General features: G+C 47.5%; 1 protein-coding gene across 2 annotated transcripts in view, besides 1 other annotated feature; it reads left to right on the top strand.

Moving 5' to 3' along the window:
* The window catches only part of CRTAC1 (cartilage acidic protein 1), a 165,622-nt gene that overhangs the window by 72,581 nt on the left and 68,835 nt on the right, over window positions 1-24,206 (top strand). For both annotated transcript variants that reach the window (NM_018058.7, NM_001206528.3), the window contains exon 3: window positions 21,675-21,871. In NM_018058.7, coding sequence (NP_060528.3) covers window positions 21,675-21,871 — 197 coding nt within the window. The remainder of the gene's footprint in view (window positions 1-21,674; window positions 21,872-24,206) is intronic.
* Window positions 4,247-4,945: an enhancer, noted in NCBI's record as "OCT4-NANOG hESC enhancer chr10:99712853-99713551 (GRCh37/hg19 assembly coordinates)". NCBI's record gives its function as "activates a minimal SCP1, AML or CMV promoter by ChIP-STARR-seq in naive H9 embryonic stem cells {active_cell/tissue: H9 hESC(naive)}" and the evidence as "EXISTENCE:reporter gene assay evidence [ECO:0000049][PMID:30033119]".

Below are 24,206 nucleotides of genomic sequence, written 5' to 3'. Positions count from 1 at the left end.
GTATCCTGCTTACAAGACCCTGGCAGAGGCTAGAGGAGGCTTTAAAAGAAAGAAGGAAGAGACTTTCCCCTGTGCAGCCCTGGGGGTATTGGGTGGAGGAGGATCTCCCCCAAATTCAAAGCCATGTCACATAGGTTATGATATGTGTTAAAGATTGTTCCTGCCATTTCCTGTTTCCAAGCCCCTCACCCACCATCTCCTCCCCCAACTCCCCATTCGGTGTGTCTTTTGTATTTCATGCACTTCATTCCTAGCCTCCTGGGGATGGAGGGTCCATTGCATTCCAGTATGATACACAGACAATGCCAGAGGACAGTCCCTGCATTTTTGATCCACTGCATCAAAAATGTATCCACTTTCAGAAGACTGAAGGCAGGGAACAGTCAGCTGAAAGGCAAGAAGAAAACTGTGTTAAGAACGTGAGCTCTAGGATCCCATGGGGCCTGGGTTTGAATTGGGCTCTGCTACTTTCCAGCTGTGCAGCCTCAGGCAAATTCCCTAACCTTGCTGAGCCTTGGTTTTCTCATCAGTAAAATGGAGATCATAATGGTCCCTGTCTTGCCTTACAGAGCATGAGGATTGAATGAGACCATTCAGCTACAGTGCACATGGCTTATAGTAAGCCCTCAATAAACATCAGCTGGGGCTGCTCCTGTCACTGATGTTGCTGATGTTGGTGCTGTCCCCGGCCCACCTCCTCTGGACCACAATAAAAGCACACTGCTTTTATCATCACTCATTCCCTTTCTCCATCACCCACTTCTGCACCTCAATTCTGTTACCTGTCCCTCTTCATTCTAAGAAGTCTACCATTACCCTCTCCAGAGAGACTGCCAATGCCAGACACATCCTTGTCCCAATGTCTTTTTAAAGCATCGCCCACTCCTCCCCAAAGAGAGGTCCCCTTCTCTTAACATAAGTGCCCTGGCTGGGCACAGTGGTTCACATCTATAATCCCAACACTTTAAGAGGCCAAGGTGGAAGGATCACTGAGCCCAGGAGCTCAAGGCCAGCCTGGGGAATACAGTGAGACCATATCTCTGCCAAAAAAAAAAAAAATACAAGTATTAGCCAGGTGTGGTGGCATGTGACTGAAGTCCCAAACACCTGGGAGGCTGAGGTGGGAGGATCACTTGAGCCCAGGAGGCTGAGGTTGCAGTGTGCTGAGATCACACCACTGTACTCCAGCCTGGCTAGAGTACAGTCTTTCAGAGAAAGACTCGGTCTCAAAAAAAAAAAAGAACTCCAGAGAGTTCTCCCTGCCCCTGACACCTCTGAGATCATTTTTGTGACCCCAGCAAAGTGCTGTGCCTTGAGGGAAACTGTCTGGGTTATGTTAGTGTTTGTTCCTTTTGAGAACCTACAGTTGTAGATTTCAGTGATTTAGAAGAGGATCAGCCCAAAGATACTTTTTTTCATTTGTTTATATTTTGTGGGTGCTAGTGGTAGGTTTTCTGTTTTGTTTTGCTTTGCTTAATCATCACTGTTACTGCATATGCTGTTTATTTTTAATGAGAAGGATAAGATCCTTTCCAAAATAAAGATGCCCAACAGCAGGCAGTGCAAATTCTTCCTCAGGAACACTGACCCTAGAGTATAATTGTGTGCCGGATTGACAGCACAGCCACCAGGGGCTCACGCAAGTCCCAGTCTGATCCGTGCACTGTCACTTTGTAACTCAGTGACCTTTGGGAAGTCACTTGAGCTCTTACGCCTCATCTGTAAAAAGGGATAACAGGTTCATTTGGGAGAACATGAGAACATGCATATAAAGTGCTTAGCCCTGTGCCTGGCAGACAGTAAGCAGTCAATACGTGCTAAGCTGACATTAGGATGCGTTCTAAAATTCTATCAGAACCTGTGCTTTAAGCAGCTGTTTTGGAATATGTGGAAGAACTTGGTGTCAGTCAACTTGCCTCCTGGAAGTCACATGTTTCATCCAATCTGGAAGCAACTGTAATCGTAGGCCTTTAACAGAAGCAGGTGTGATTCCCTTTGCCTCTTACGTGGCCTTTATGGTGAGTTGTGCTTGGCCACTGAAGCATTAGTTGCTCACTACAAGGTTATTCAGAGGCCCACAAATGTCAATAAATAAATCTGTGTGATTATCAAAGATATCAAGAAAGCCCCACAGCTCCCTGTGGTGTTCAACCTTTGCAAGTTTAGTCATCGTGGCCTCTTTGGGACTCCTGTCTGAGGCAATGACTGCACCTTGAATTCCTCACCGTGCACCCATGCATATGATGTGGACCCCTTGGGCACAGCGTAGATAACAGTGTCCTCCTATATGAGCCAAGAAGAACATGTCATCATCCTGGGGCTACCAGCTATCTCCTCTGGAAGGTCTAGCGAGAGAAATACAGCCAGAGCTGCCTGTTCTGGATAAACATTTTTATTTTCATGACATCCCAGATTGAATATAAGGGAACTGGTCAGTAGAGGCATGCACAAGACAATGAAAATGGGAATGAGATACTCAGAGAGGTTAGGTAAACTTGCCCAAGGACACAGAACAAGGAAAGGATAGAGAAGAGGTTTGGGTCCAGGTGTGTCTGACTCTAGAGACAAGGCTTCTTAACCTGGGCTCCTGCTCAAGCATTGCTAAGCAGTGCAGTGTACAGGGGTGGTTTTAAGACTTTATTTTCTCAGTGTAACCCTTTGAAACAAAAAGAAAATCTTATGCAGTATCCTAACATAGAAATCAGATCCAAGTGGAACGACTTGACTGAAGGGGTTTAGGGGCCCAGAGCCCGTCTCTTTCTCCCCCTCTTCTACTCAGGGTTCTTGAGGACTCTCTGAGAAACCCTTGGACTCCATAGGACACAGACCCAAAACCTCTGGTGAATCTGAAGGAGGGTGGACTTCAGAGCTTTTGTGTTCTCTTTGTGAAAGAAAATACAAACATTGTCCTTGCAGAGTTGTTGGGAAGATTCAGTGAGCTGCATAATGAAGCATCTAGTACACTCCCTAGCTGCTATTATTATTATTATCCTAACTGTTAGGTTTTATGGGAAAATAAGTGTCAATTCAGAGGGGATGTAGTGGTTGAATGGTGGTCCCCCAAAGAGCTATGTCCATGTCCTAGTCCTTGGAACCTGTGAACAGTACCTTGTATGGCAAAAGACATGATGAAGGTCAAGATCTTGAGAAGAGTTTATCTTGAAGTGATGCAGCCATAAGCCAAGCAATGCCTGCAGCCCCCAGAAGGTAGAAAAGGCAGGGAACGTCTTCTCTCTGAGCCTCTGAAGGGAGTGTGACCTTGTTGATACCTTGATTTCAGACTTCTAGCCTCCAGAACTGTGACAGGATAAGTTTCTGTGTTGAGCCAGAATTTGCAGCACTTTGTTACGGCAGCCCTAGGAGACTAATACCGGGGTCATTGCCCCGACATGGCCCCAGCTCATGCGCTATATATGGGAATTATTTCACACAAAGATGAAGGCCTAGGGCATGTGCCAGAGTCCTTGGAAGAATGCATTCATGGTGTCCTCCTCATTCCTGCATGTAGGTAAGCAGGATCTGGCAGGAGTCCTCTCTGCTATTTCAAGACCCTTCAAAGGGCAGAATCTGGGTCACTGCTCAGGCTTCCGCTTTCCTCCTGAACCCCAGCTCTAGCAATCACAACGTCGAGTCAGTGATTTGTAATGCTCAGATTGGCATTTCTGACAACAGGTCTGCCTTTATCTGTGGAGTCTAATGATGGTGCGGACAGGAGCCTTATTTGTGCTGTCACCATCCCACTTTATCACCATCTACATCCAGTCCTGGGGGGTCCTCTCAAGATAAGCAATCATGCCTCCTAGATGCTGTTCTTGCTGTATATCCTCTTCCCTCATTTTACTTCAATATTAGCCTTCTCCAGGAAAGTGGAGCTGAGCCAAGTTAGTAGGAATGTTCTGCCACAGAGAGACCAGGAGCCTTGTGGGGTCTGGGGTTCTGCAGGGTCTTGCCACGCTCCTCAGCTGCAAAGATGTTTCTCCCAGGGCGATGCCACGGCAGCCCAGCTGTAGAGACGTCTCGACAGCCACCTGGCATTGATTTTTCAGCTACACCTCCCGAGAATTTGCCAGAGCCATAAAGTAAAGAAGCAGTAATTCTTCTTTTTGGCCATCACACCTGCCGAGGAGTATCACATGCTAGTTCTGCACTCACTGGTATAATTTAGAGCAAGCTTTGCCAAAAGGAATCCCTGGTCTAGTTGAAATAATATGTTTGCTCATGAATAGGAGGAAAATAACACATTATGGTTGGGTAAAAAGAAACTAGAATTTGGAATAAGGAAACAAGTTCAAAGTCCAGCCCTACATTTTCCAGTGGTGTGACTTGGGCACATGACTGACCTCGGGCTTTAGTTTCTCACTGAAAGGTGGGGGAGATAAATAATGACCCCACTGGATTGCTGAGAGGATTAAGCCATCAATGCGCTATGCAACTACAGACGCAGATGACGAGGCCATGAGAATGGAAGGAAAGCTTTGTCCCTCTTTAGTTCTGTGTTTTGAGTCCCAAGGTCAGGGCTGGATTAAACCAACACAGACAGTGTTCCTCTAAGGGACCTCCATTGAGGGTCTGCTGGCCTCCTGGCCATTTATCGAGGCTACAAATCAACAGAGACCTCCGGCTGGGCTGCTATCACACCTTGATGCATCTCTGCTTGTCGTACATTGAATTTCAAAAGATACTGGCTGGTTTCTCTTATCTCTAAAAGAGAGTGTTATGGTGCATGTCACTCTCTTTCTGAAGAAACCAAATGCACATATCAAAAGGAAAAGAAGAAAGGTAGTGCCATCCCAAAGGACTGGGCGCTTGCAGATGCCTAGGCTTGATCTGACCCCTTTCTGACCTGTGTCTTGGGAACTGAACTTGGGCAGAGCTGCAGAGGAATGGGCCAACTGGTCCTTGGAAGGCATGGTGGGTGCAAGGAGGAAGGGGGAGGGCTTATAGGAAAAAGCTAATGAAATAAAATCGCTGGCTTCCTGTCTGCCCTGAGCAAGATGCTAGAGTGGCAGAGGCATAGGCTCAAGAGAATGAATGGTTCCTGGGAGTGGGAATCTACTCAGCTCCAGAACTGGGAAGGATGGAGGCAGCATGTTGGTTATTCTCCATCCTCAGGGAGGACATATATTCACAGATGTGGAAGGGAGAATCAAATGCATTGTGAATTGTGAATTAATCAATAATATAGTCCTTCTAGGTATTCACACCATAGCTTGTTCTCTACATGTTCAACTGTAGTGATATTATAAACTCCTAAATGGCACAGACAAGATTTGTGCAAGTCTTTTTTGTACTAGACTCAAAGCACCATGTGTCAACTGGTCCTTAATGGATCCTGATGAGATTGGAAGGACCAGGGATGGGTCTCACATTTTGGTGAACATAAAAACCACCTGGGGTTTGTTTGGAATGCTGATTCCTGGACTCCAGGTCTAGCAATTCTAATCAGTAGGTCTGGGTAGTGCTCTAGAATTTGCGTTCTTTTTTTTTTTTTTTTTTTTTTTTGAGATGGAATTTCACTCTTTTCTCCCAGGTTGGAGTGCAATGGCATGATCTTGACTCAATACAACCTCCATCTCCCAGGTTTAAGCAATTCTTCTGCCTCAGCCTCCCAAGTAGCTGGGATTACAGGTGCCCACCAACTCGCCTCACTAATTTTTTTATTTATTTATTTATTTATTTATTTTTTTTTGAGATGGAGTCTCACTCTGTCGCCCAGGCTGGAGTGCAGTGGCGCAATTTCAGCTCACTGCAAGCTCCGCCTCCTGGGTTCACGCCATTCTCCTGCCTCAGCCTCCCAAGTAGCTGGGACTACAGGTGCCCACCACCACACCTGGCTAATTTTTTGTATTTTTAGTAGAGATGGGGTTTCACCGTGTTAGCCAGGCTGGTCTTGATCTCCTGACCTTGTGATCTGCCCGCCTCGGCCTCCCAAAGTGCTGGAATTACAGGTGTGGGCCACCAAGCCCAGGGTGGAATTTGCATTTTTAACAAGGTCTGTGGATGTTTTCATTGTAGGTGGTCTACAGGCTACTCTTTGAGTCAGGCTGATCCAGACCAGCCCTTCTGAAACATTAATGTGCATGTGAATCCCCTGGGCACCTTTTTAAAATGCAGATTCTGATTCAGAGATCTGGGATGGGGCCCAAAATTTCACACTTTTTGATGTGCTCCCCAAAAATGCTGGCACCACCAGTCCCCACTCCACAGTTTGAGTAGCAAGAATCTACTTGCTATTCTTTTCCTGCAGGTGGGAGGTACCAGCTCTAGCAGGGGCTTTATTCTAGATGAATGATTCAAACCATAAAATGTCTGCTTACCTAATATCTTAGATTATAGTCATGTACCTTTCATTTGTAATTAAAATAACTGTTTATCTTAACTGGCAGTCAGGTAGGTAATTTTTATACAGCAAGCACTTCAAAGAAATAAATGCCTAGGTACAATTTGGTACTTTCTCATTAATACTTAACACACAACATTTTCTATCCCTAAACTTTAAGGCACATTCTCTCCAACATCCAGATTCTGATCAGTGTCAATGCTTGGCTGAGGAAATTCAAGGCAGCCTGCAACAAAGACCCCTCTGAATGACCGCTTTTAGTAGATGGCAGCTTTATACATAAATTTTTTAAGCAAGAATCTCTTCTAGAACTATTTTCTTCAAATCAAAATGAAGAGTTTAACTCATCAGTTAACATTCCATAGCAACTAGAAGGCTTTTGCTGCTTTCTCCAACCATTATTTCTCAAGACATAGCCAGTCCTACCCCCACTAGCTGCAGCAGGAAAGAGACAACTAGAAGGATTTTGTTGTCTTGATTTTGCCACTGGGATGGGATATCCACAGTAGGAGGTAGATCCAGCAGGCAGAACAGTACATGCACAAGGTATGGACAGAGGAGGTGGAAATGCAGGTGAGCAAAGGGTCCAACACCACGTGGCCCATTTGTCTTGACAGATACAGGGCACTCAGTGACTTATATTAAAAATTCCAGATAGTCATTGTGGGGGAATTTCACCATCATGAAGAGGGGGCAGTCAACCCGGCAGAATTAGCTGGCCCCCAAGCTAGCTTCTCAGTTGCTGCTCCAACTTCTCCTTCCTCAAGCCGTGACTTCACACCCTCCTCTCAGCTGATAACCTCACCACTTATGTACCTATGAGAAGGCCAAGGTCTCTGGGTGTCACTCTCTAGTTACTGTCTTCCACCTTGTCCTATCTTCTTGTCCATCTTGACTTCCTTTCCTATTAATTCCAGGCCTACCCCTCTGTCTGGTTGGACAGAGCCCTGGGCTAGCAGAATAGGCCTTTTCTGATCTGAAAATGGCCTTTCTGTTTTCCCATCCATTTCCCCATGAGCGGTGACCAGCAAGAGCTCACCTGGTCTGTCTTTATATGATAGCCCTACCCTTCACCAGGCAAGTCCTGTCTGTTCTCTGCCCCAACAAGGCCCGTGACCTGTGTCTAGTAACCTGTGTCTCCTTGCCTGTCCAACCCAGACCTCAGACCACGCTGGCTTACAGCAGTCTCCTGCACATCTCTAGTCCTGTGCCCAGCCCCGGACTTCCTCCTTGATGGAGAAAACCACACAGATGCCAGCTGACCAGGTCCTCAGCAAATTCCTGTCTTCTCCTTTAATGGGGCATTTCTGCAGCTCAATGGGCCTATCATTCAGCTCCTGTCAAACTGGGTGGAAGACCTAGGGCTCCCCAGGGCCCAGGCAGCTGCCTCTGCTACAGATAATAGCCATACTCTCTCTCTCTCTCTCTCTCTCTCTCTCTCTCTCTCTCTCTCTGTGTGTGTGTGTGCACGTACATGCAAAACCAACAGCTGTGTCATGGTTTACATATATTATCTCGTTTGACCTTGGGGTAAGACAAATATTGTTAGCCCCACTTTATAGATGAGGAAACTGAATCTTAGTGAATATATGCAGGTTCCTTTATCAAACACTGTGTTAAGGGCTAGAAGAATAAAATATAGACCAGAACTCCATGGAGCTCACAGTCTTCTGTACTCAAGGCTACACAGGTAATAACAGTAATTCATTCTTTCAAAAATATTTTTTGAGCTCCCATTATGTGTCAGACACTGAGTATATAAGGAGAAAAAGACAGACATATTAACCAGTGTTTACTGAGCATTTGCTCTGTGCCAAGCCCTGTATTCACTGCTTTATAGATATTATCCTAATCCTCTGCACAGCCCTATGGCCTGGAAGCTGATCTCAGCATCCTCACTTTGTACATGAGGGAACTGAGGCTTGGACAGGTTAGGTGGCTTGACCAGGAGCACCCACACAGCTGAAGAGTTGCAGAGCAGAAATCTGCCCTCAGGTGGTCTGACTGCCCGGCTGAGTGCCTCAGCATGGAGCTATGCTGCCTCTCAGCCTTTATGTCTGACTTCAAGTCCAGGGCTCTCTCCGCCACTCTGTGCTACCCCCACAGAACTCACCTCACTCTGGAGAGCAGATGCTTCTGCCACCTTTACCAAGACACTCCGTAGGGTTGGGGGAAGGCAGCCCTTGTCCCGGATCTTAAGACCCTAAATGCCTGCCCCACATTCTGCATGGCTGCCTTCCCTTGTTCCACCCCAGCTTGGTTCCCTGAGACAGCCCTGCCTCTGTTCCACCTCTGCCTGTGCCCTTTTGTCCAATTTGGCTCCCTGGCCCTGCCCAGGACTCTCTGCACAGATTGCTCCCCTCCTGGTGCAGGGTCTGTCTTCTCTGTGGGACCAGGGTCCCAGCACCTGCTCACAGCAGCTCACATTCCTTGAGTTGGCCTGACATCCCCCTCTGAGGTGGCTGATCCTTCAGGCCCTGTTTACCATGGCAAGTGGTCATGTGTAAGTCTCTCACTTGCTAATCTAGCTTCTCCTTCAACATCTCTTGCTAATCCAGCAGGCTGCTGCACTGTGACTTCCACACTGTCCTCTCAGCTGTGAACCTAACCCTAGCTTTCTGGGTGTGATATGGTTTGGCTGTGTCCCCACCCAAATCTTATCTTGAATTGCAGTTCCCATAATCTCCATGTGCTGTGGGAGGGAATTGAATCATGGGGCGGTAGTTACCCCCATGCTGTCTTTATGATAGCGAGTGAGTTCTCACGAGATCTGATAGTTTTAAAAGGGGCTTTCCCCCACTCCTTGCTCTGCACTTATCTCTCCTGACGCCATGTGAAGAAGGAAGTGTTTGCTTCCCCTTCCTCCATAATTGTAAGTTTCCTGAGGCCTCCCAAGCCATGCGGAACTGTGAGTCAATTCAACCTCTTTCCTTCGTAAATTACCCAGTCTCGGGCAGTTCTTTATAGCAGCATGAGAATGAACTAATACAGGATATTACTGTCTAGTTGCTCTCTTCCACCTCATTCTATCTTCTTGCCCATCCTGGCTTCCTTTCCTCTTAATTCCAGGCCCAACCCATCAGCTGGTACATGACACTCTGTTCTGCTGACCTACTGCACACCCTGCCTAGATGCCTGCAGCATCCACTGCCTCTCCTAGGTCTTTTCCTCTTGCTCACAAACATGCACAGTCCCAAAGCTTGGTGAAACCCTTGCTTAACCACGTGTCCCCCAGCACATATCTTAGGACTTTCAGAGCACTTTTTGTCCTAAATGACCCATCCACACTGTGGCCCCATCCACTCCCATGCACCCTCCTCAGTCTAGCTCTCCTCTCCTCTCCTCTCTAAGGAAACAGCTTTCTTGAAGGTTATCAGTGGCTTCCAAATTGCCAAATACACTTGCTTTTTCCAGTCCTTGGCCTTTTTGACCCTTGAAAGCATCTGACACTGTTGGCTACCCCTCTTATTTTAACCCTTGCCTTCCTGATTTCTGTGCTTTTTTGACTCTACTTTGTCTTAAGGGTAATTTACTTATTATAAGGAACAGAAACCTAATCACATTAGCTCAGAAGAGTTTTTTTTTTTTTTTTGCAATAATTCAGGGAATGCCATGGAATCCAATTGCCATTATTCTGCACTATCATTTCAATTCTCTTCCTTGGCCAATCCTTCATGCATACCAGACAATGATCTCCAAAACATTGTTTTGACATAACAGTATACCCTGCACGGAATCCTTCAGTAGCCCCCTATTTCCTAGCAAACACAATCTTCATCTATTTCTTAATTATTATTTTATTTATTTATTTTTAGAGATGAGGTCTCACTATTTTGCCCAGACTGATTTCAAACTCCTAGTCTCAAGCGATCCTCCCAACTTGGCTTCCCAAAGTGTTAGATTACAGGCATGAGCCACCATACCTGACCCAGAAAATATAAATCCTTAGTTTCATGCCACATCTTCCACAATCTTAGTTGCCCAGTACACCAAGACCATGCTTCTGTCTTTAAGTTCCCCCAATTAAACATCCTTTACCGACAATCTGTATCTGTCTACCTCATTCTTTTATTTCTCAGCTCCTTTAACATTTGGGGAATGCTTTGCATATACAGGCTTTTCACGGAACGTGTACTTTTCCAATTTGCTTTTCACTATTTTTCACTTCTGTCCAACACACACTTCTATGTTGTCCAGCTAGTCTACCCCGTATTCCCTAAACATATTTTTCTGTTCCTTGCTCACACCATTTCTTTCATAAATGCCTGACCCATATGTCTCTTACTAAAATCCTATACATCCTTCAAGTTCCAGATCAAACAAACCTTTATTAAAACTTTTACCCCAACAATTTTTGGCCCTCTGCCCTCTGAAAGCTTGGGATTGGGACCACTCCTTATTTGCTATACTAGGCTGGAGACTCTGAGCAGAGAATTACATCATATGCCATGTGCGTCCATCACAGTACCTCGCGGTGTGCCTGCCTAGAAATAGGATCCCAGAAGGGTGGAATGAAGTCAATGCCTGACTTATCTTTTTACTCTTAAAGAAGAGTGAAGCATTCATTGGCTCCTTGCCCCAACTATTCTGTCCCTAAATTGGCCTACCTCCTCAACTGAAAGAGAGATAAAGACCAACAGCTTTTTAGCTAGAAGCTTCTGGGTAGTTATAGCATGAAGGAAAGAAAGTTTGAATAGATATTTAAAGTGTTTTGTGACCAAGCAGTTAGTGATTTGCCTGAATCCACAGCAAGTGGGTGAGCTCTGGCCAGACTCTGGGATCCACTTGCTGATCTCATCGCTGCCAACTCTTAGTGTCCTCGAACCAGACCGTTTCGAGAACCTAGTGACTCAAACATTGTTCCAATTTCTGTGTTTACTTCTTTCTGGGGCTTCTGGAGGGGAATAGGGGGCCCTTGAGATGTGTCTAGAGGACACAGTGACTTGGTGGTCCCAGGGAAGCATTTGTTGTCTTCCATCAGGAGGCCCTGGTAGGTTTGTCTCCAGAATATGCAGACCCAAATGAGTCACTGTCATCTAAAACCACATCCTTATCCTTCCTGGCACTTCTCTTCCTGCATATAGGTGGATCCCAAGATGCCACTTTCACTGGCCTTGCTACTAGTTGAAAGCTACCAACCACAGGCTCCCAGCTCTTGCCTCTGGAGATGGACAGGTGACCCACCCTGAGCCAATCAGAGCTCTTTTCTGGGGTTTTTTACATGCAAACTGAGGAGAGAACACAATCTCCCCTCTGGTCCTGAAGCTGAGATGTGAGTCTGGGAATGCTGCCATAGTTGAAGTCTTGGGAAGGAGGATCATGTGAGAGAATGAGGTCCATAGGCAGAGAAAAGAATGAGAAAGAAGGAAAAGGAAGTGCTGACCACATCCTGGTTCCAGTCATCCAGAAGCCTAGCTGCACTTTTGCTGTTCCTGCAGTTTGGACATTTAAGCCAATACATTTCTCAACTAGTTCACTTGCAACCAAAGAATCCTGATTAACACAGCCTCCATCTGTCACCTGAATCCCTTCTTTGACAGTTTATGGGAATTCCTGACTCCCTGTCTTCTTCTTTTCCTAGAAACATGCATTGAGAAATGGAGTTATGGTCTTCGTCATCATCAGCAAACATGACTGAGCACTTGGTCTTTCCTGGCACTGGGCTAGGTGTGATGGGGAATAGAGCTGCATAGGATAGTCCCTGCCTTCTGTGTGCCTCTATGCTCATGAAAATATAAGAAATTCCGAGGGCATCGAGCACATGCTGAGCACAGATCTTTTTAAGAACAAGGCCGAAATCAATCAGTCTGTGTGGAGTTTTTACAGAACACAGACACCATCACTGCAGATTATTCTGACCTTTTGGTGCCAACCATCCCTTTCTTGAAAAACCATCTGCCCCTTAGGACAAAAGGTTTTTCTCTTTTTTCTTAAAGTTACCTTCTTCAGTAGAGCACTCTATTTGTGGAGTCTTCTCCACTCTGGCCAGCTCCTAAATCAGGATCAAATCTGATTTTGTTATTGTTATTTTTCCAACCTTACCCAATTTATTCCCTAGCGGAACCCTGCCCCAGATTTCTCATCACGCCCAGAACCTTCCCATTACCAAAGTCTCTATTCCTTTAAACTAATATATGGCCTCTGGATATATCCTATTCCAGGATACATTCTGTGAATCTCCTGTTTGAATGTCTTCCCATATGTTTTCTGGTCCTATTTAACTTAAATGGCTTTCAAAGAATAAAATGTGTAAAAACAAACAAAAAAAAGAGCATTACACACATTTCCAAAGAAATGATCTATTCTCAAGAGTGTGCATTCAAAATGGGAAACATTTAGATATGGTTAGAAAGGAAAGAAGAAAGAGAAAGAGGAGTAGAAAAACAGGAGTTTCTGGGATCCCTGTATTCTTATTACCCTTCCACCCTCGGGCTCTGCACAGACCTTCCCATATCCTCAGATCCAAGTACCAACACAACTAGTCCAGGCCTCCCTTGGGGAGACCTGCCTACTGTGAATTCAAATAGCCATCCTAGAGAATTCCACTGATTTATGAATAATCCTTTTTCCTACTTGCCAGAGATAAATTTTTCCTCTCCTTAGATCTGAGATGATAGGTCATCATTATCTACTTTCTTTTCTGAAAACTTAGGGGCTTAAAAACAATTTATTATTTTTCACTATTCTGCCAATCAGGAATTTGGAAAGGGCTCATCTGGATGGTTCTTCTGCTCCATGTGACATCAGCTGGTGTCACTCACTTAGCTGCATTCAGCTGTCAGTGAGCTAGGCTGGAAGATTTGAGAAGTTCTTGCTCACATATCAGATGCCTTGGTGCTCTTTCACATGGCCTCTCCATAGGGCTAGCTTTGATTTCAGAGCATGGTGGTCTTAAGGTAGCCAAATTTTGTATATGGTAACTGGCTTCCTCCAGAGACTAAGTGGAAGCTACTGGGCCCCTTGCAGGCTAGGCTCAGAACTGCTCCAACATCACTTCCACCGTCTTCTGCAATCAAGGCAAATCACAAAGCCAGCCCAAATTCAAGGGGAGGAGAAATAGACTCCATGTCTTCATGAGTGGAGTAACACATGCATACAGAGAAGAAAGGAAATGATGGTGACCATTTTTAGAGACCATCTACCACAACCTTTTTACCCCCTCACTTAGAGCACAAATGCTTTTGCTCATTTCTTAGCCTTAGATTAAATCCCTGTTTAGAGAACACTGTTGTCATTTTAAGCAACTCTTTTATCATTTTTTTTTTTTTGAGATGGAGTTTCACTCTTGTTGCCCAGGCTTGACAGCAATGGGGCGATCTTGGCTTACTGCAACATCTGCCTCCCCGGTTCATGCGATTCTTCTGCCTCAGCCTCCCAAGTAGCTGGGATTACAGGGTGTGCACCACCACGCTCAGCTAATTTTTGTATTTTTTTTAGTAGAGATGGGGTTTCACCATGTTGGCCAGGCTGGTCTTGAACTCCTGACCTCAGGTGATCCACCCACCTTGGCTTCCCAAAGTGCTGGAAGTACAGGCATGAGGCACTGCACCTGGCCCTTAAGCAGCTCTTCTCAGTTTCTTTTTCCCCCAAAGGTTATCTTGCCTTACAGTCGCCATCCTAAGACCTAAAATCTTTCATACATTTAACCTTCAGTCTCCCTGAAATACTTGCTTCAGGAAACTATGTATTCCCAAGTACTAAGCCCAAATTAATTTTTACTAAACCTTATTCTAATTTTTTGTTGTTATGATAATTATCATTTAAAATTTGTAATATACTCATACTATAAGGCTGACAATCCTGGAGACCAGGGATTGGCAATCTTTTTCAGTAAAGCGCCAAATGGAAAATATTTTCAGCTTTTGGCCATACGGTCTCTATTGCAATTAATCAACTTCAATATTTAGCAAAAGCAGCCATAGATAGTACATAAGTGAATGAGTATGTCTGCATTCCAATAAAACCATATTTACGAAAATGGAAGCAGACCATTTGGCCCACAGGCCATAGTTTGCTGATCCCTGCTTTAGACTAAGGGATAAGTTTGTCTTTCCATTTATTTTATCTAATGACCAGCTGTTTGACTTTAGAAGTCACTTTTCTCAGAAACTTTGTGTATCTATAAAATGAGAGTATCAAAGTGACCAACAATAAAATACTCCTGTGTGCCCATAGTTGTGAAAATGCAACACATTTTTAAAAACGTTTAGAGGAAATGCCCCAAGTGGCCACAAGATGGAATTATTTCTCTATGATCATATCTCAGAGTCCTGTTGATGTGTCCATGACTTCGAGACTTTCTAGGGGTCTCTCCATTTGTCTTTGTAGATCTGCAGATGCCCTTTTTCATGTGGCTCCCTTTATATGGGTAGGTGTCTTTACCTCTGTATCTATGTTTACTTAAAAGGTTTTAGGTATGCTCTGATATCATTTTCTCTGTGCTTGTCGGCTTCCTCTTCCCTTTTTGTATATTTCCTCATTTCCATTTTTGTATATTCCATGTGTCTCTGGTCTCGGTCTTGCACTCTTTGTGCATTCATACATCTCTCTCTTCTTTCTGCCCTGACTCTCTATCTTGACTATACTACTGAATAGATATATTCTTTTCACTTTTCACTTTTTTTTTTTGAAGACAGGGTCTTGCTCTGTTGCCCAGGCTGGAGTGCAGTGGCATGATCACAGCTCACCACAGTCTCGACATCCTGTGCTCAAGCAGTCCTCCCACCTCAGCCTCCTGAGTAACTGGGACTACAGGAATGCACCACCACACCCGGCTAAATTTTTTATTTTATTTTTTTGTAGAGACAGGTGTCACTATGTTGCCCAGGCTGGTCTCAACCACCTGGGCTCAAGGGATCCTCCTATCTCGGCCTCCTGAAGTGCTGGGATTACAGGCATGAGCTACCATACCCAGCCTTTTTTTTTTTTCACTTTTTAATGGAAAAAAAATTTTAATGAAAACAATTTCTCTGTTCTTAATTTTCAAACAGATAGCATATTTTCTGTATCTTTCAAATCTAAAAAATGTTTCTATTTATATATAATGAAATGTCATATGTAAATTACTTAGCACAGTTTCTGGTATATAATAGGTGCTCACATCCTTCTATCTGGCTTCCCCTTATGTGACTCCCTAAGCGATTTTTTTCACATAGGTCAAAGATTCTAAGCGAAAAGAAGTCGATCCTCCATAACTATAGCATTTGTTGTTTTCTCTCCTCCTCACCCAGGACACCAATTCTTGGTGCTGAAAGCTCTTTTTCATGACTATGTTTGTACATATATTAATATTTTGGGAATTGATGAAAGTGTAGAGTCCAAGAACAAACAAGGGATTGGTGGCCCAGTCAACCTTTTGTTCAGCTCTTTGTACCTTCCACGGGCTTCATCTCTTCCATTCACTCTGCGGTGGTTTATTAAGAGCTCACTATGGGCTGGATGATGGAGAGACAGGAGTGAACAAACCAGACACAGTCTCTGACCTCAGGAAGCTTATAGTTTACTGGAAGAGACAGGCAATAAACAAGTGAAGAAACAGGAATAGGTGCTGGATGCAGCGATGAGAATACCAATGAGGGAGATCTCTCTGAGGAGCCTCTGAAGAGGAGGCCAAGGGATGAGAAGGAGCTCACTGTAGGACCAAACAGGCGGGGAATGGTTGGAGAGTGTTCTGGGTGGTGGGAGCAATTCTGCAAGAGAGTGCTGGGTTGGGAAGCACTTGCCAGAATTCAAGGAGCTGAAAGGAGACCCTGTGGCAGAAGGAGGCCAGTGAGGTAGGGGAGCAGACCATGCGGGCTCCAAGGCCAGGAGTGATCACAGGTCTGGGTTTCATTCCCAAGCAATGGGAAGCCACCAAAGGGTTTTAGCTATGATCTGATTTATGCAGTAAAAAAGATGACTCTGGCTACAGTGTGGGGGAGTTAAATTAGGGGACGGTCAAGTGAGGCAACAGAGAAGGGTGTCTGCCCAGAGATGGTGGCAGTGGAGGAGGAAAGAAGAAAAAGGATTTGTGAAACATTTTTGGAGGTAGAAACGACAGGATGGGCCAATTAATGAGAGGCGAAGACAAAGGGGAGGGACAGCCAAGTCTGACGCAGGTTCCTGGCCTTAGTATTTGGGTGCTCCTTTGTGGGAGGGAGGGGTGGAGTGGTCAGTAGCTCCACTTTGAACATGTTCTATTGGAGGTGGCAGTGGACGTCCAAGGGGTGATGTCAGGTAGCCAGTCAGAGATATGCATCTGACCTGGGACTGGGGATTTGGGTTGGAAGTATGAATTTGGAATTGTCAGTCAGGGTAATGAACATTATCCCATAGTGAAAGGGGAGAGAAAGAAGAGAATGCCCAGGACTGGGGACTCCAACATTAAAAGGGAAGGGAGAGGAAGAAGGAATTACGGTGGGGAAAGGAGAGGAAGCCAGAGAGAGCGCAGGAAACCAGAGGAAGTTGGCCTCCTTGGCCTAGAAGAGAGAGTGCTTTCAGAGGACAGCGGTGGGGAAAAGGAAGAGAGAGAGCAGCAACTGTGCCAAATACAGCTGAGAGGCCGAGGGGGATGAGGACAGAAAAGGGCACCCTGAGATATGGCCTCATAAAAGCCACCGATGATGGTAGCAGGAAAAGCTGTGGCAGAATTGGGGTGGGAAGGTGGATGGGGGTGGGGCAAATAGGCAGCGGGAAAGTGGAGAGAGAAGTTTGGTTTTACATGGGAATAAAGAAATATACCTGCAGAGGATGAGCTACCGAGGGCGGGATGTTTGGGGACAGGAAATGCTGGAGTGTGTTTGGAAATATCAACATGATCACCAGAGAGTGAGAGATTGTGCCCCGGGTTTGTTGTTTTTCTAAATAATGATAAGAACTTCTGATTGTGTAACTCTTCACAGTTTACCAAGTGTTGTCACACACACTCTGGCACCTCGTCCTCACAGCCATCCTGTGAGGTATGCAGCAGCCCCCTGTTCCAGATGCAGAAGTCAAAGCTTAGAGGAACCGAGGGACAAGCTTGGGGTCAGACCAGGAGGTGGCAGGGCCAGGACCCCACCCCCAGGCTGCTCTCGGCAAACCCCAGGCCCCTGCCCTCCCCACAGTGGTGCTGTCCCAGTGAACTGGCACCAAAATGGGATGGCTCTCACAGCACGGGTTGGTCATGCCCTTGATGGCGTCTCTCAAGCATATTTTACAGTTGCCACTGAGCCCATCACCCCTGCCTGCTGGCCCATCCTTTAGGAAGCCATAGCTGCTTCAAAACATGGGACCTTGCCCCACTTCTTGGCTCCATTTAACTGAGCTTTGAAGCCTCCAGAATTTAGCTTTGAAGCCTCCAGAATTTCTAGAAGTGCTCAGAAATCTGACAGGTGTCAGAGAGAGAAAGTGTGTAAGCCCATGTAGCTCACACTCAGCTTCCCAGGCTTGTCAGCGTGGGGACTGCCAGCAGAGTGATAGTGGGCAAGTCATCTAACCTCTGAACCTCAGTCTCCACATCTGTGAAATGGGGTGTTAATAAGACCCATGTCCTAGGATTGTTGTGAGGACGGAATGAGACAATGGGTACAAAGCACTTAGCATAATTCTAGGCACGCAGTGGCTGCTCTGGTAAGGCTACCCATGATTATTTTTATTTATTCATTCATTCATCCACTGATTCACTCATTCTTGTATCAAACAGACATTTGTTGAGCACCTACTCTGTGCCAAGCATTGTTTCAGGCACAGCAAATGAAGAGATGCATCCACTCCACATGCTTCCTGAGCTCAAGAAGCACATGTTTTAATGAGGAAAGTGATGTTGGAACACAAACAATTCTGGCCTCACAGGAATAAGCGAGGTGCAAAATGCTGTGGGTTTCCAGAGAAGAGAAGGTCACATCCAGCAGGGGCAGTCGGGGCAGGCATTGTGGGAGGCTGGGAAGGTGGGGAAAGCATTCCCCGTGGGAGGGGACTGCTGCAGCTGAGCAAAACCACAGGAGCTGGAAAGGGCAGAGCACACTCAGGGGATGGTGAGGAAGCAAACAGGAACGTCAGCCTCAAGAAGAAGCGGGGAGGGAAGAAGACTGGTTCTCCTGGTTTTCTTGGGGGATTGTGAGAGGCTCTGAGTGTTGGTCCAGCAGACTCAGCAGAGAGCAGCCTGGGTGAAAGGAGGAAGTGGCAACTCCAGGCACTGCCCTGGCCTTGCACCATGGGGTGCCAAGAACCCAACCTAGGAGCTGTTGGTCTGGCTTTGTATCTGTAGTCCTGGGAGGCAGTGGGGACTGGGGGAGATGAGGGCCAGAGTGTCAGGATGCATCCCAAGCTACCATGTCAGTTTAGGGAAGCCTTTGTGGCGTGTGCTCACTCAGTAACTGATCGAAGAATTTGACCCAGCCTAGCAACCTTACCTCTGGAACTGGCACCTTAAAACTCTTTAAAGAAGAGAGCCGGGGCCAACTACCTTTCCGAGGTTACTACCATGGTGCAGGGACCTTGTGTGTACCCCAGCTACTCCAGATTCAGGGTAGAAGGACTGGACTCCAATATGTGAGGAGGCCATGATCCCTCACCTCTCCCTTGGAACTGGCTTCAGGGGGTGGTGAAGACATTCTAGGAGACCCAACGGGCAGGGGTGCAGGGGAAGGGTGTCAGTGCTGGGCTTCTATGGTGGCTTCTCAGCCACAGCCTGGGGCAGGGAGCACCTGCTCTGATCGTCTCATAAGGTTAGTGAGACTCACAGACCCACAGAGTCCAGGGGCTTTTAAACTCTGGCTCTGGAATCCCTTGTTCAAACAACATACTGTGGAACGTGATGCATAAAACATAGAGATGTTCTAGTTGAATGGAGCAGAGGGCCCCCAGGGCTGCCTTTTGCCACACATTTCATGACCCTCAGATTTTGTCCAACTCTTGCATTTCACAGAAGAGAAATGCAGAGCCTAGAGAGAACTGACCAGCCCAAGGCCACCAACCTCATCTCTGGCAAATGAGCCCAAGGATGAGAAAGTGCTTTGTAAAGTGTAAAGTGCTATTGAAATGTAAGACTATCATAATCTTCGCCATCTGCATCTCTGTGAAGTTCTCAGGCATTTCTCAGGGGCACTACTTTGTGGGAGGCAGCCAGGGGGAAAAATGAACAGGCCTGAGAGTGCTGGCATCATAGGCAGCACGGAAAGAACATGGGGTTTGGACCCTGAAGACACAGAGGCCCAGCGCTGCCACTAACAAGTTGTGTAACCTTGGACCTCACTTCAGTTTCCTTTTCTGGAAAAATGCTTTGCCTACCTTCCTTCTGAGATGGTGTGGGGCTCAAGTGAGACTGTGCATATGAGGGTGCTTTTAACAAGGCCAAGCACTCCACAAATACAGCCATCTTACAAGGTGCAGTAGTGATGGAAAAGCAGAAGACCCCAAGGCTTGCAAGACTCGTGTTCAGCCCTCACAGGCACTTCCTGTCCCCAAGCACTGGAGCCAGCTGCTGACAGTGCTGGAACCCAAGTACCTGTCTCTCCTGCCTAGACACGTCTCCATAGGTCATGCCACGCCCTGGACATGCAGCCCTCAGACACTCTTCATCAAGGTGTCTAAGGCATGACCTTCCATCACCGGGCGCTGACTCAGCCCCCAGGGAGCTCCATCTCTCCTTTCACACCCTATGGGTGCCCGAAGGTGCCCAGCCAGCTGCTCAGCATCCCCCAAACCTCACTGGCTTCTGCATCTTGGGATGATGCAGCGGGCCAGACTGGATTTGTTTCAGGAAAGAAAGACGTGATTTCTCTCAAAGACCTTAGAAAGCTCTTCCTGCCCTCCCTGGGTGTTACCAGCTGGGAACCCTCTGGAGGCAGTATCTGCATTTCCCTCGGGATGTGCACATTCAGGCTGAAACACAGGAAGAGGTGGGGGACCCTGTGGATGGGGTCTGTTCCATTCTTTGGGAGAACCTGGCAAGCTGGTGCTCCCAGTGGGCAGGAAGAGGCCTCAGACATTCATTTCTGTGCTGCCTGGGGTGTGACCTTGGGCACACCGACTTCCTGCAGGGCCCTTGTTTTCTCCATATGGGAGGGTGATGTGAAGAAACAGACCATGGGACACCTGAGCTTTTATGATTCAGACATGAGCTCTGAGCTTTCATTCATTCAATCAGCTAGCAAATATTTATTGAGCACCTATTGTATACTAGGCATGGTTCTAGGCACTGGGGAACAAAACAGACAAGAAGTTCTGCCTTCATGAGGCAGACATTCTAGTGGGACCAGACAGAGAAGGAAGAGGTAAATGAGAATATGGAATTGTCAGCTGTTGGTCAGAGCTGTGGGAAGAGAGCATTAGTGAGAGATAGAGAACAGGGTGGTGGTGCAGTGGCGGGGGTGGTTGCTAATTTTGGGAGCATGGGCAGGCAAGCCCTCACTGAGAAGGAACAGGGGAGCAAAGGTTTAAAGGAGATGAAGGAGGGAGCCAGCGGTGTGGATGTCTGGAGGAACAGCATCCTGGGCAGAGAACAGCAAGTGCAAAGTCCCTGAGGCAAGAAAGTGCCTGGGGCTTCAGTGCAGCGAGGAGGGAGTTGCAGGCGCAGGAGAGTGAGACAGAGTAGAGATAAGTAGTGATGCCTTTTAACCTTTTCTCTTGATTTCTTAGAAAAAGATCCAGCAGGTCTGTCTAATAACTTTAGACGTGTTCATGTTCTCCCATCTGAGATGCAAACTTCATCCTTTTGTTTAAATGCAGGGACTTTGTCGAGAGAGTTGTTCAAACCTCAACAACAAAGCCTCCTGCTCCTCCAGGGCTCATTCACACAGGGACTCAGGACTCGGGATAGTAGAAAGCACCTTGGTTCAACTCCCAGCACCTGACACTTCCTAGGCCGTGTTACCTTGGAAAGGGCATTCAGCCTCTCTGAGCCTCAGTTTCCCTGATAAACCTCATCAGTTGCCTCATCCATAAAATGGGTTACTAATACATGCCTACCTCTCTTGATTGTTAAATTTAAATTAATGAGATCATAAATGTGAAAGTGCCTTTTGCATTGAAATGGGCAAGATGAGCATCAGGAAGTTCTTTGTTTTCTTCAGTGAAGCCTGTGGGAACGGGCTGTCCATGGCTCCCACTCCCCTCTGCCACCCTGCTGCTTATATGGTGTCCCACATGGCCCCTGCTGACTCTCACTGCGCCCGGGCGCAAAATCTGATTCAGGGACACTCATCCAACACTCAGGGTTCCATGAGGCAAGGCTGGCCGTGTTCCCTGGGAACACTCCAGGTCTGACTTGCCCCATGGCGTGTCCGGGAGGACTCCCAGCCCGTTGCTCTGGTTGGATGGGACTGGGTGGGCCCAGCGGCTCCTCCCCAGCATCCCCTCCCCATTCCTCCTCCAGGTACAATGGACCCAACCTGGTTCTGAAGTATGACCGGGCCCAGAAGCGGCTGGTGAACATCGCGGTCGATGAGCGCAGCTCACCCTACTACGCGCTGCGGGACCGGCAGGGGAACGCCATCGGGGTCACAGCCTGCGACATCGACGGGGACGGCCGGGAGGAGATCTACTTCCTCAACACCAATAATGCCTTCTCGGGTAAGGGCTGGGGCTCAGGCCTCTTCCTGCTTCCCATCTTCTCCCTCCCAGTAGCAACTTGGGGAGGGCCATGGGAACCCTGGCCCTTCCTCAGGCAACTGTCATTGTCCCCCTAGGCACTGCCCCCTGCTGCCACAGGACCTCCCTGGGTCCCAGAATGACTTATTCTTCTCTTGCGTGTGAGCCTGTAGGTCTCATCTCCTGAAACCCGAACCTGGAGATGGACAGGGTGAGCAGAGACCGAGTCTCTCCCTCAGACTGTGTGTCCCCACCACCGCCTCCTAATGTGAGCCCTCCTGACCCCTCCTCTCCTCTCCAGCCCCACTGCCCTGCCCTGGCTCAAGCATGCATCACTCTCACCTGGGTTATGCCGTGATCGGAAGATGCCACTAGAATCAGCCTCCATGCTAGCTGTAGAGGACCTTTCTAAAATGTTCTGAAATCCTTCAGGAGCCCCCCACTACTCTCAGCTGAGCTCACTTGTTCACTCCCCAAATTCTTGCTAAGCACCTACACTATGCCAGCCTAGAGATGCTGAGGACACAACCGTGAGGAAGACAGACCTTGAGTTCGTGGAGCCTTTTCTTGCAGGAGCTTCCCGAACTGAAGTGTGCATCCGAATCCCCTAGAGGTCTTGTGCAAATGCAGACTGACTCAGCAGGTCTGGGTGGGGCCAAGACCCTGCACTTCTGACCCGCTCCCAGGCTATGATGATGATGCCTCTGGGTCAGGGACCACACTTTGAGTAACAAGGTCCTGCACACTAAGGAATGGATGACGGAAATTGATGCCCAGAAGGCTAAATGACAGTGACAATAATAACAGTTAATACTTAAGTAGCACCTATTGCGTGTCAGACCCTGATCTAAACATTTACATTAATTATCTCATTTAGGCCTCACACACCTCGATTAGTAGGTACTGGTAAATGCCACTGTACAATTGAGGAAACTGAGCCACAAAGAGGTTACCTGACTTGCCCAAGGCCATGCAGCTTGTAAGTCCCAGGATTCAAACCCAGGTGTCTGACTCCAGATCCATCCTCTTAATCAAGATGCTCTACGGCTTTCCTCAACCCTATGTCCTCACTGCCTCTTGGAGAGCCTAGCTTGCAGTTGTTGCTCAGTGTCTCATGATTTGGGGGCTGTGCTCTTGTGGCAGTAGATCAAGGTGGTTTCCCCGCCGCGCCCGCCGCTCCCCCCCACCCACGCCCCCTCCACCGCGATGCTTGCATTTTCTTAGGCTCAGCTCTCAGGATCTCAGCCCAGGCCTGTGGGGCTGTAACATCTCTGCGGAAGTCCCAGGTCACAGTGTCCCTAGGTGAGGGACACTGTGAGGGATGTAGGGCCCTGTGTCCCTGTGGGGCTAGGTTGAATGTGCAGTGGGCTCCTCCAGAAGGCAGCCCTCTTTTGGGTCAGCTTTGGATGAAGCCCTGGGGTTCAGACTTGAGCAGTCATCATCCTGGACCTCCCAACCTCCTGGAGGCCGGTGACTGCCTGGCTATGAGGACCACCTTCCTTGTGCTCCGCTCCCCACCCTGACACATATACACTGGCTTTCCCCTGAGCCACGACATTACCATTACTGGTTGTTGAGCCCAAACCAGGATCCAGCCCCTAGACTGCCCCTGATGTTGAGTCCTGCAGTTGCATAAACGGGAGGGGAAGAGGTTGGGGCTTATGCCAGGGGCAGGGGCAGGCAGTGCTGTCTGGCTGGCAGCCAGCCTTGTGTAGCCAAGAAACAATGAGCCACAGCCCTGAGTGGTGTTTTATGGGTTTTCATCTCATCTTGCCACCAAGTGAGGCCTGAGAGATAGTAATTATCCCTACACAAATATCAGGGCATGATTATGCAGCTGGATTTACTGCCCTCTCTCCAGCCAAGCCAAGATTGGATTAGGACACAATTAATTGATGGGCTGATCAACTCTTTAACGTTGGACAAGGTCAGAAAGGGATCAGCGTCAAGGGATGCCTATAGAAGGGGTGAGTCCCCAGGAAGTCTCCTGGAAGCTGGAGCGAGGAGAACTTTGGAAGTTTGGGCTCAGCAGGCAGATGCCAGAGGAAGGGGACAGACCATCCCCTATTCACCAAGCACAGAGCATCTGCAGTGGCAGCCACCAGGTATCTATCTCTGAAGCAGCAGCCCCTCCCACGCTCTTAGAGTGTTGCATTGTGAATCCCAGAGCCCTGGTTCCCTGCCCAGGCTGCACATTAGGGTCACCTGGGGAGCTTTCAACAATCCCAGCTAAGCTGCACTCCAGTCAATCCCATCAGAACCTCTAGGAGGGGGACCCAGTCACCAGATGGTAAAGACCTCCAGGCGATTCCTGCAT

The sequence above is a fragment of the Homo sapiens genome, chromosome 10 (assembly GCF_000001405.40).
Source record: "Homo sapiens chromosome 10, GRCh38.p14 Primary Assembly".
Taxonomy (NCBI): Eukaryota; Metazoa; Chordata; class Mammalia; order Primates; family Hominidae; genus Homo; species Homo sapiens.
Note: the sequence above shows the minus strand (reverse complement) of the source record. Positions and strands in the feature narration are given on the sequence as shown.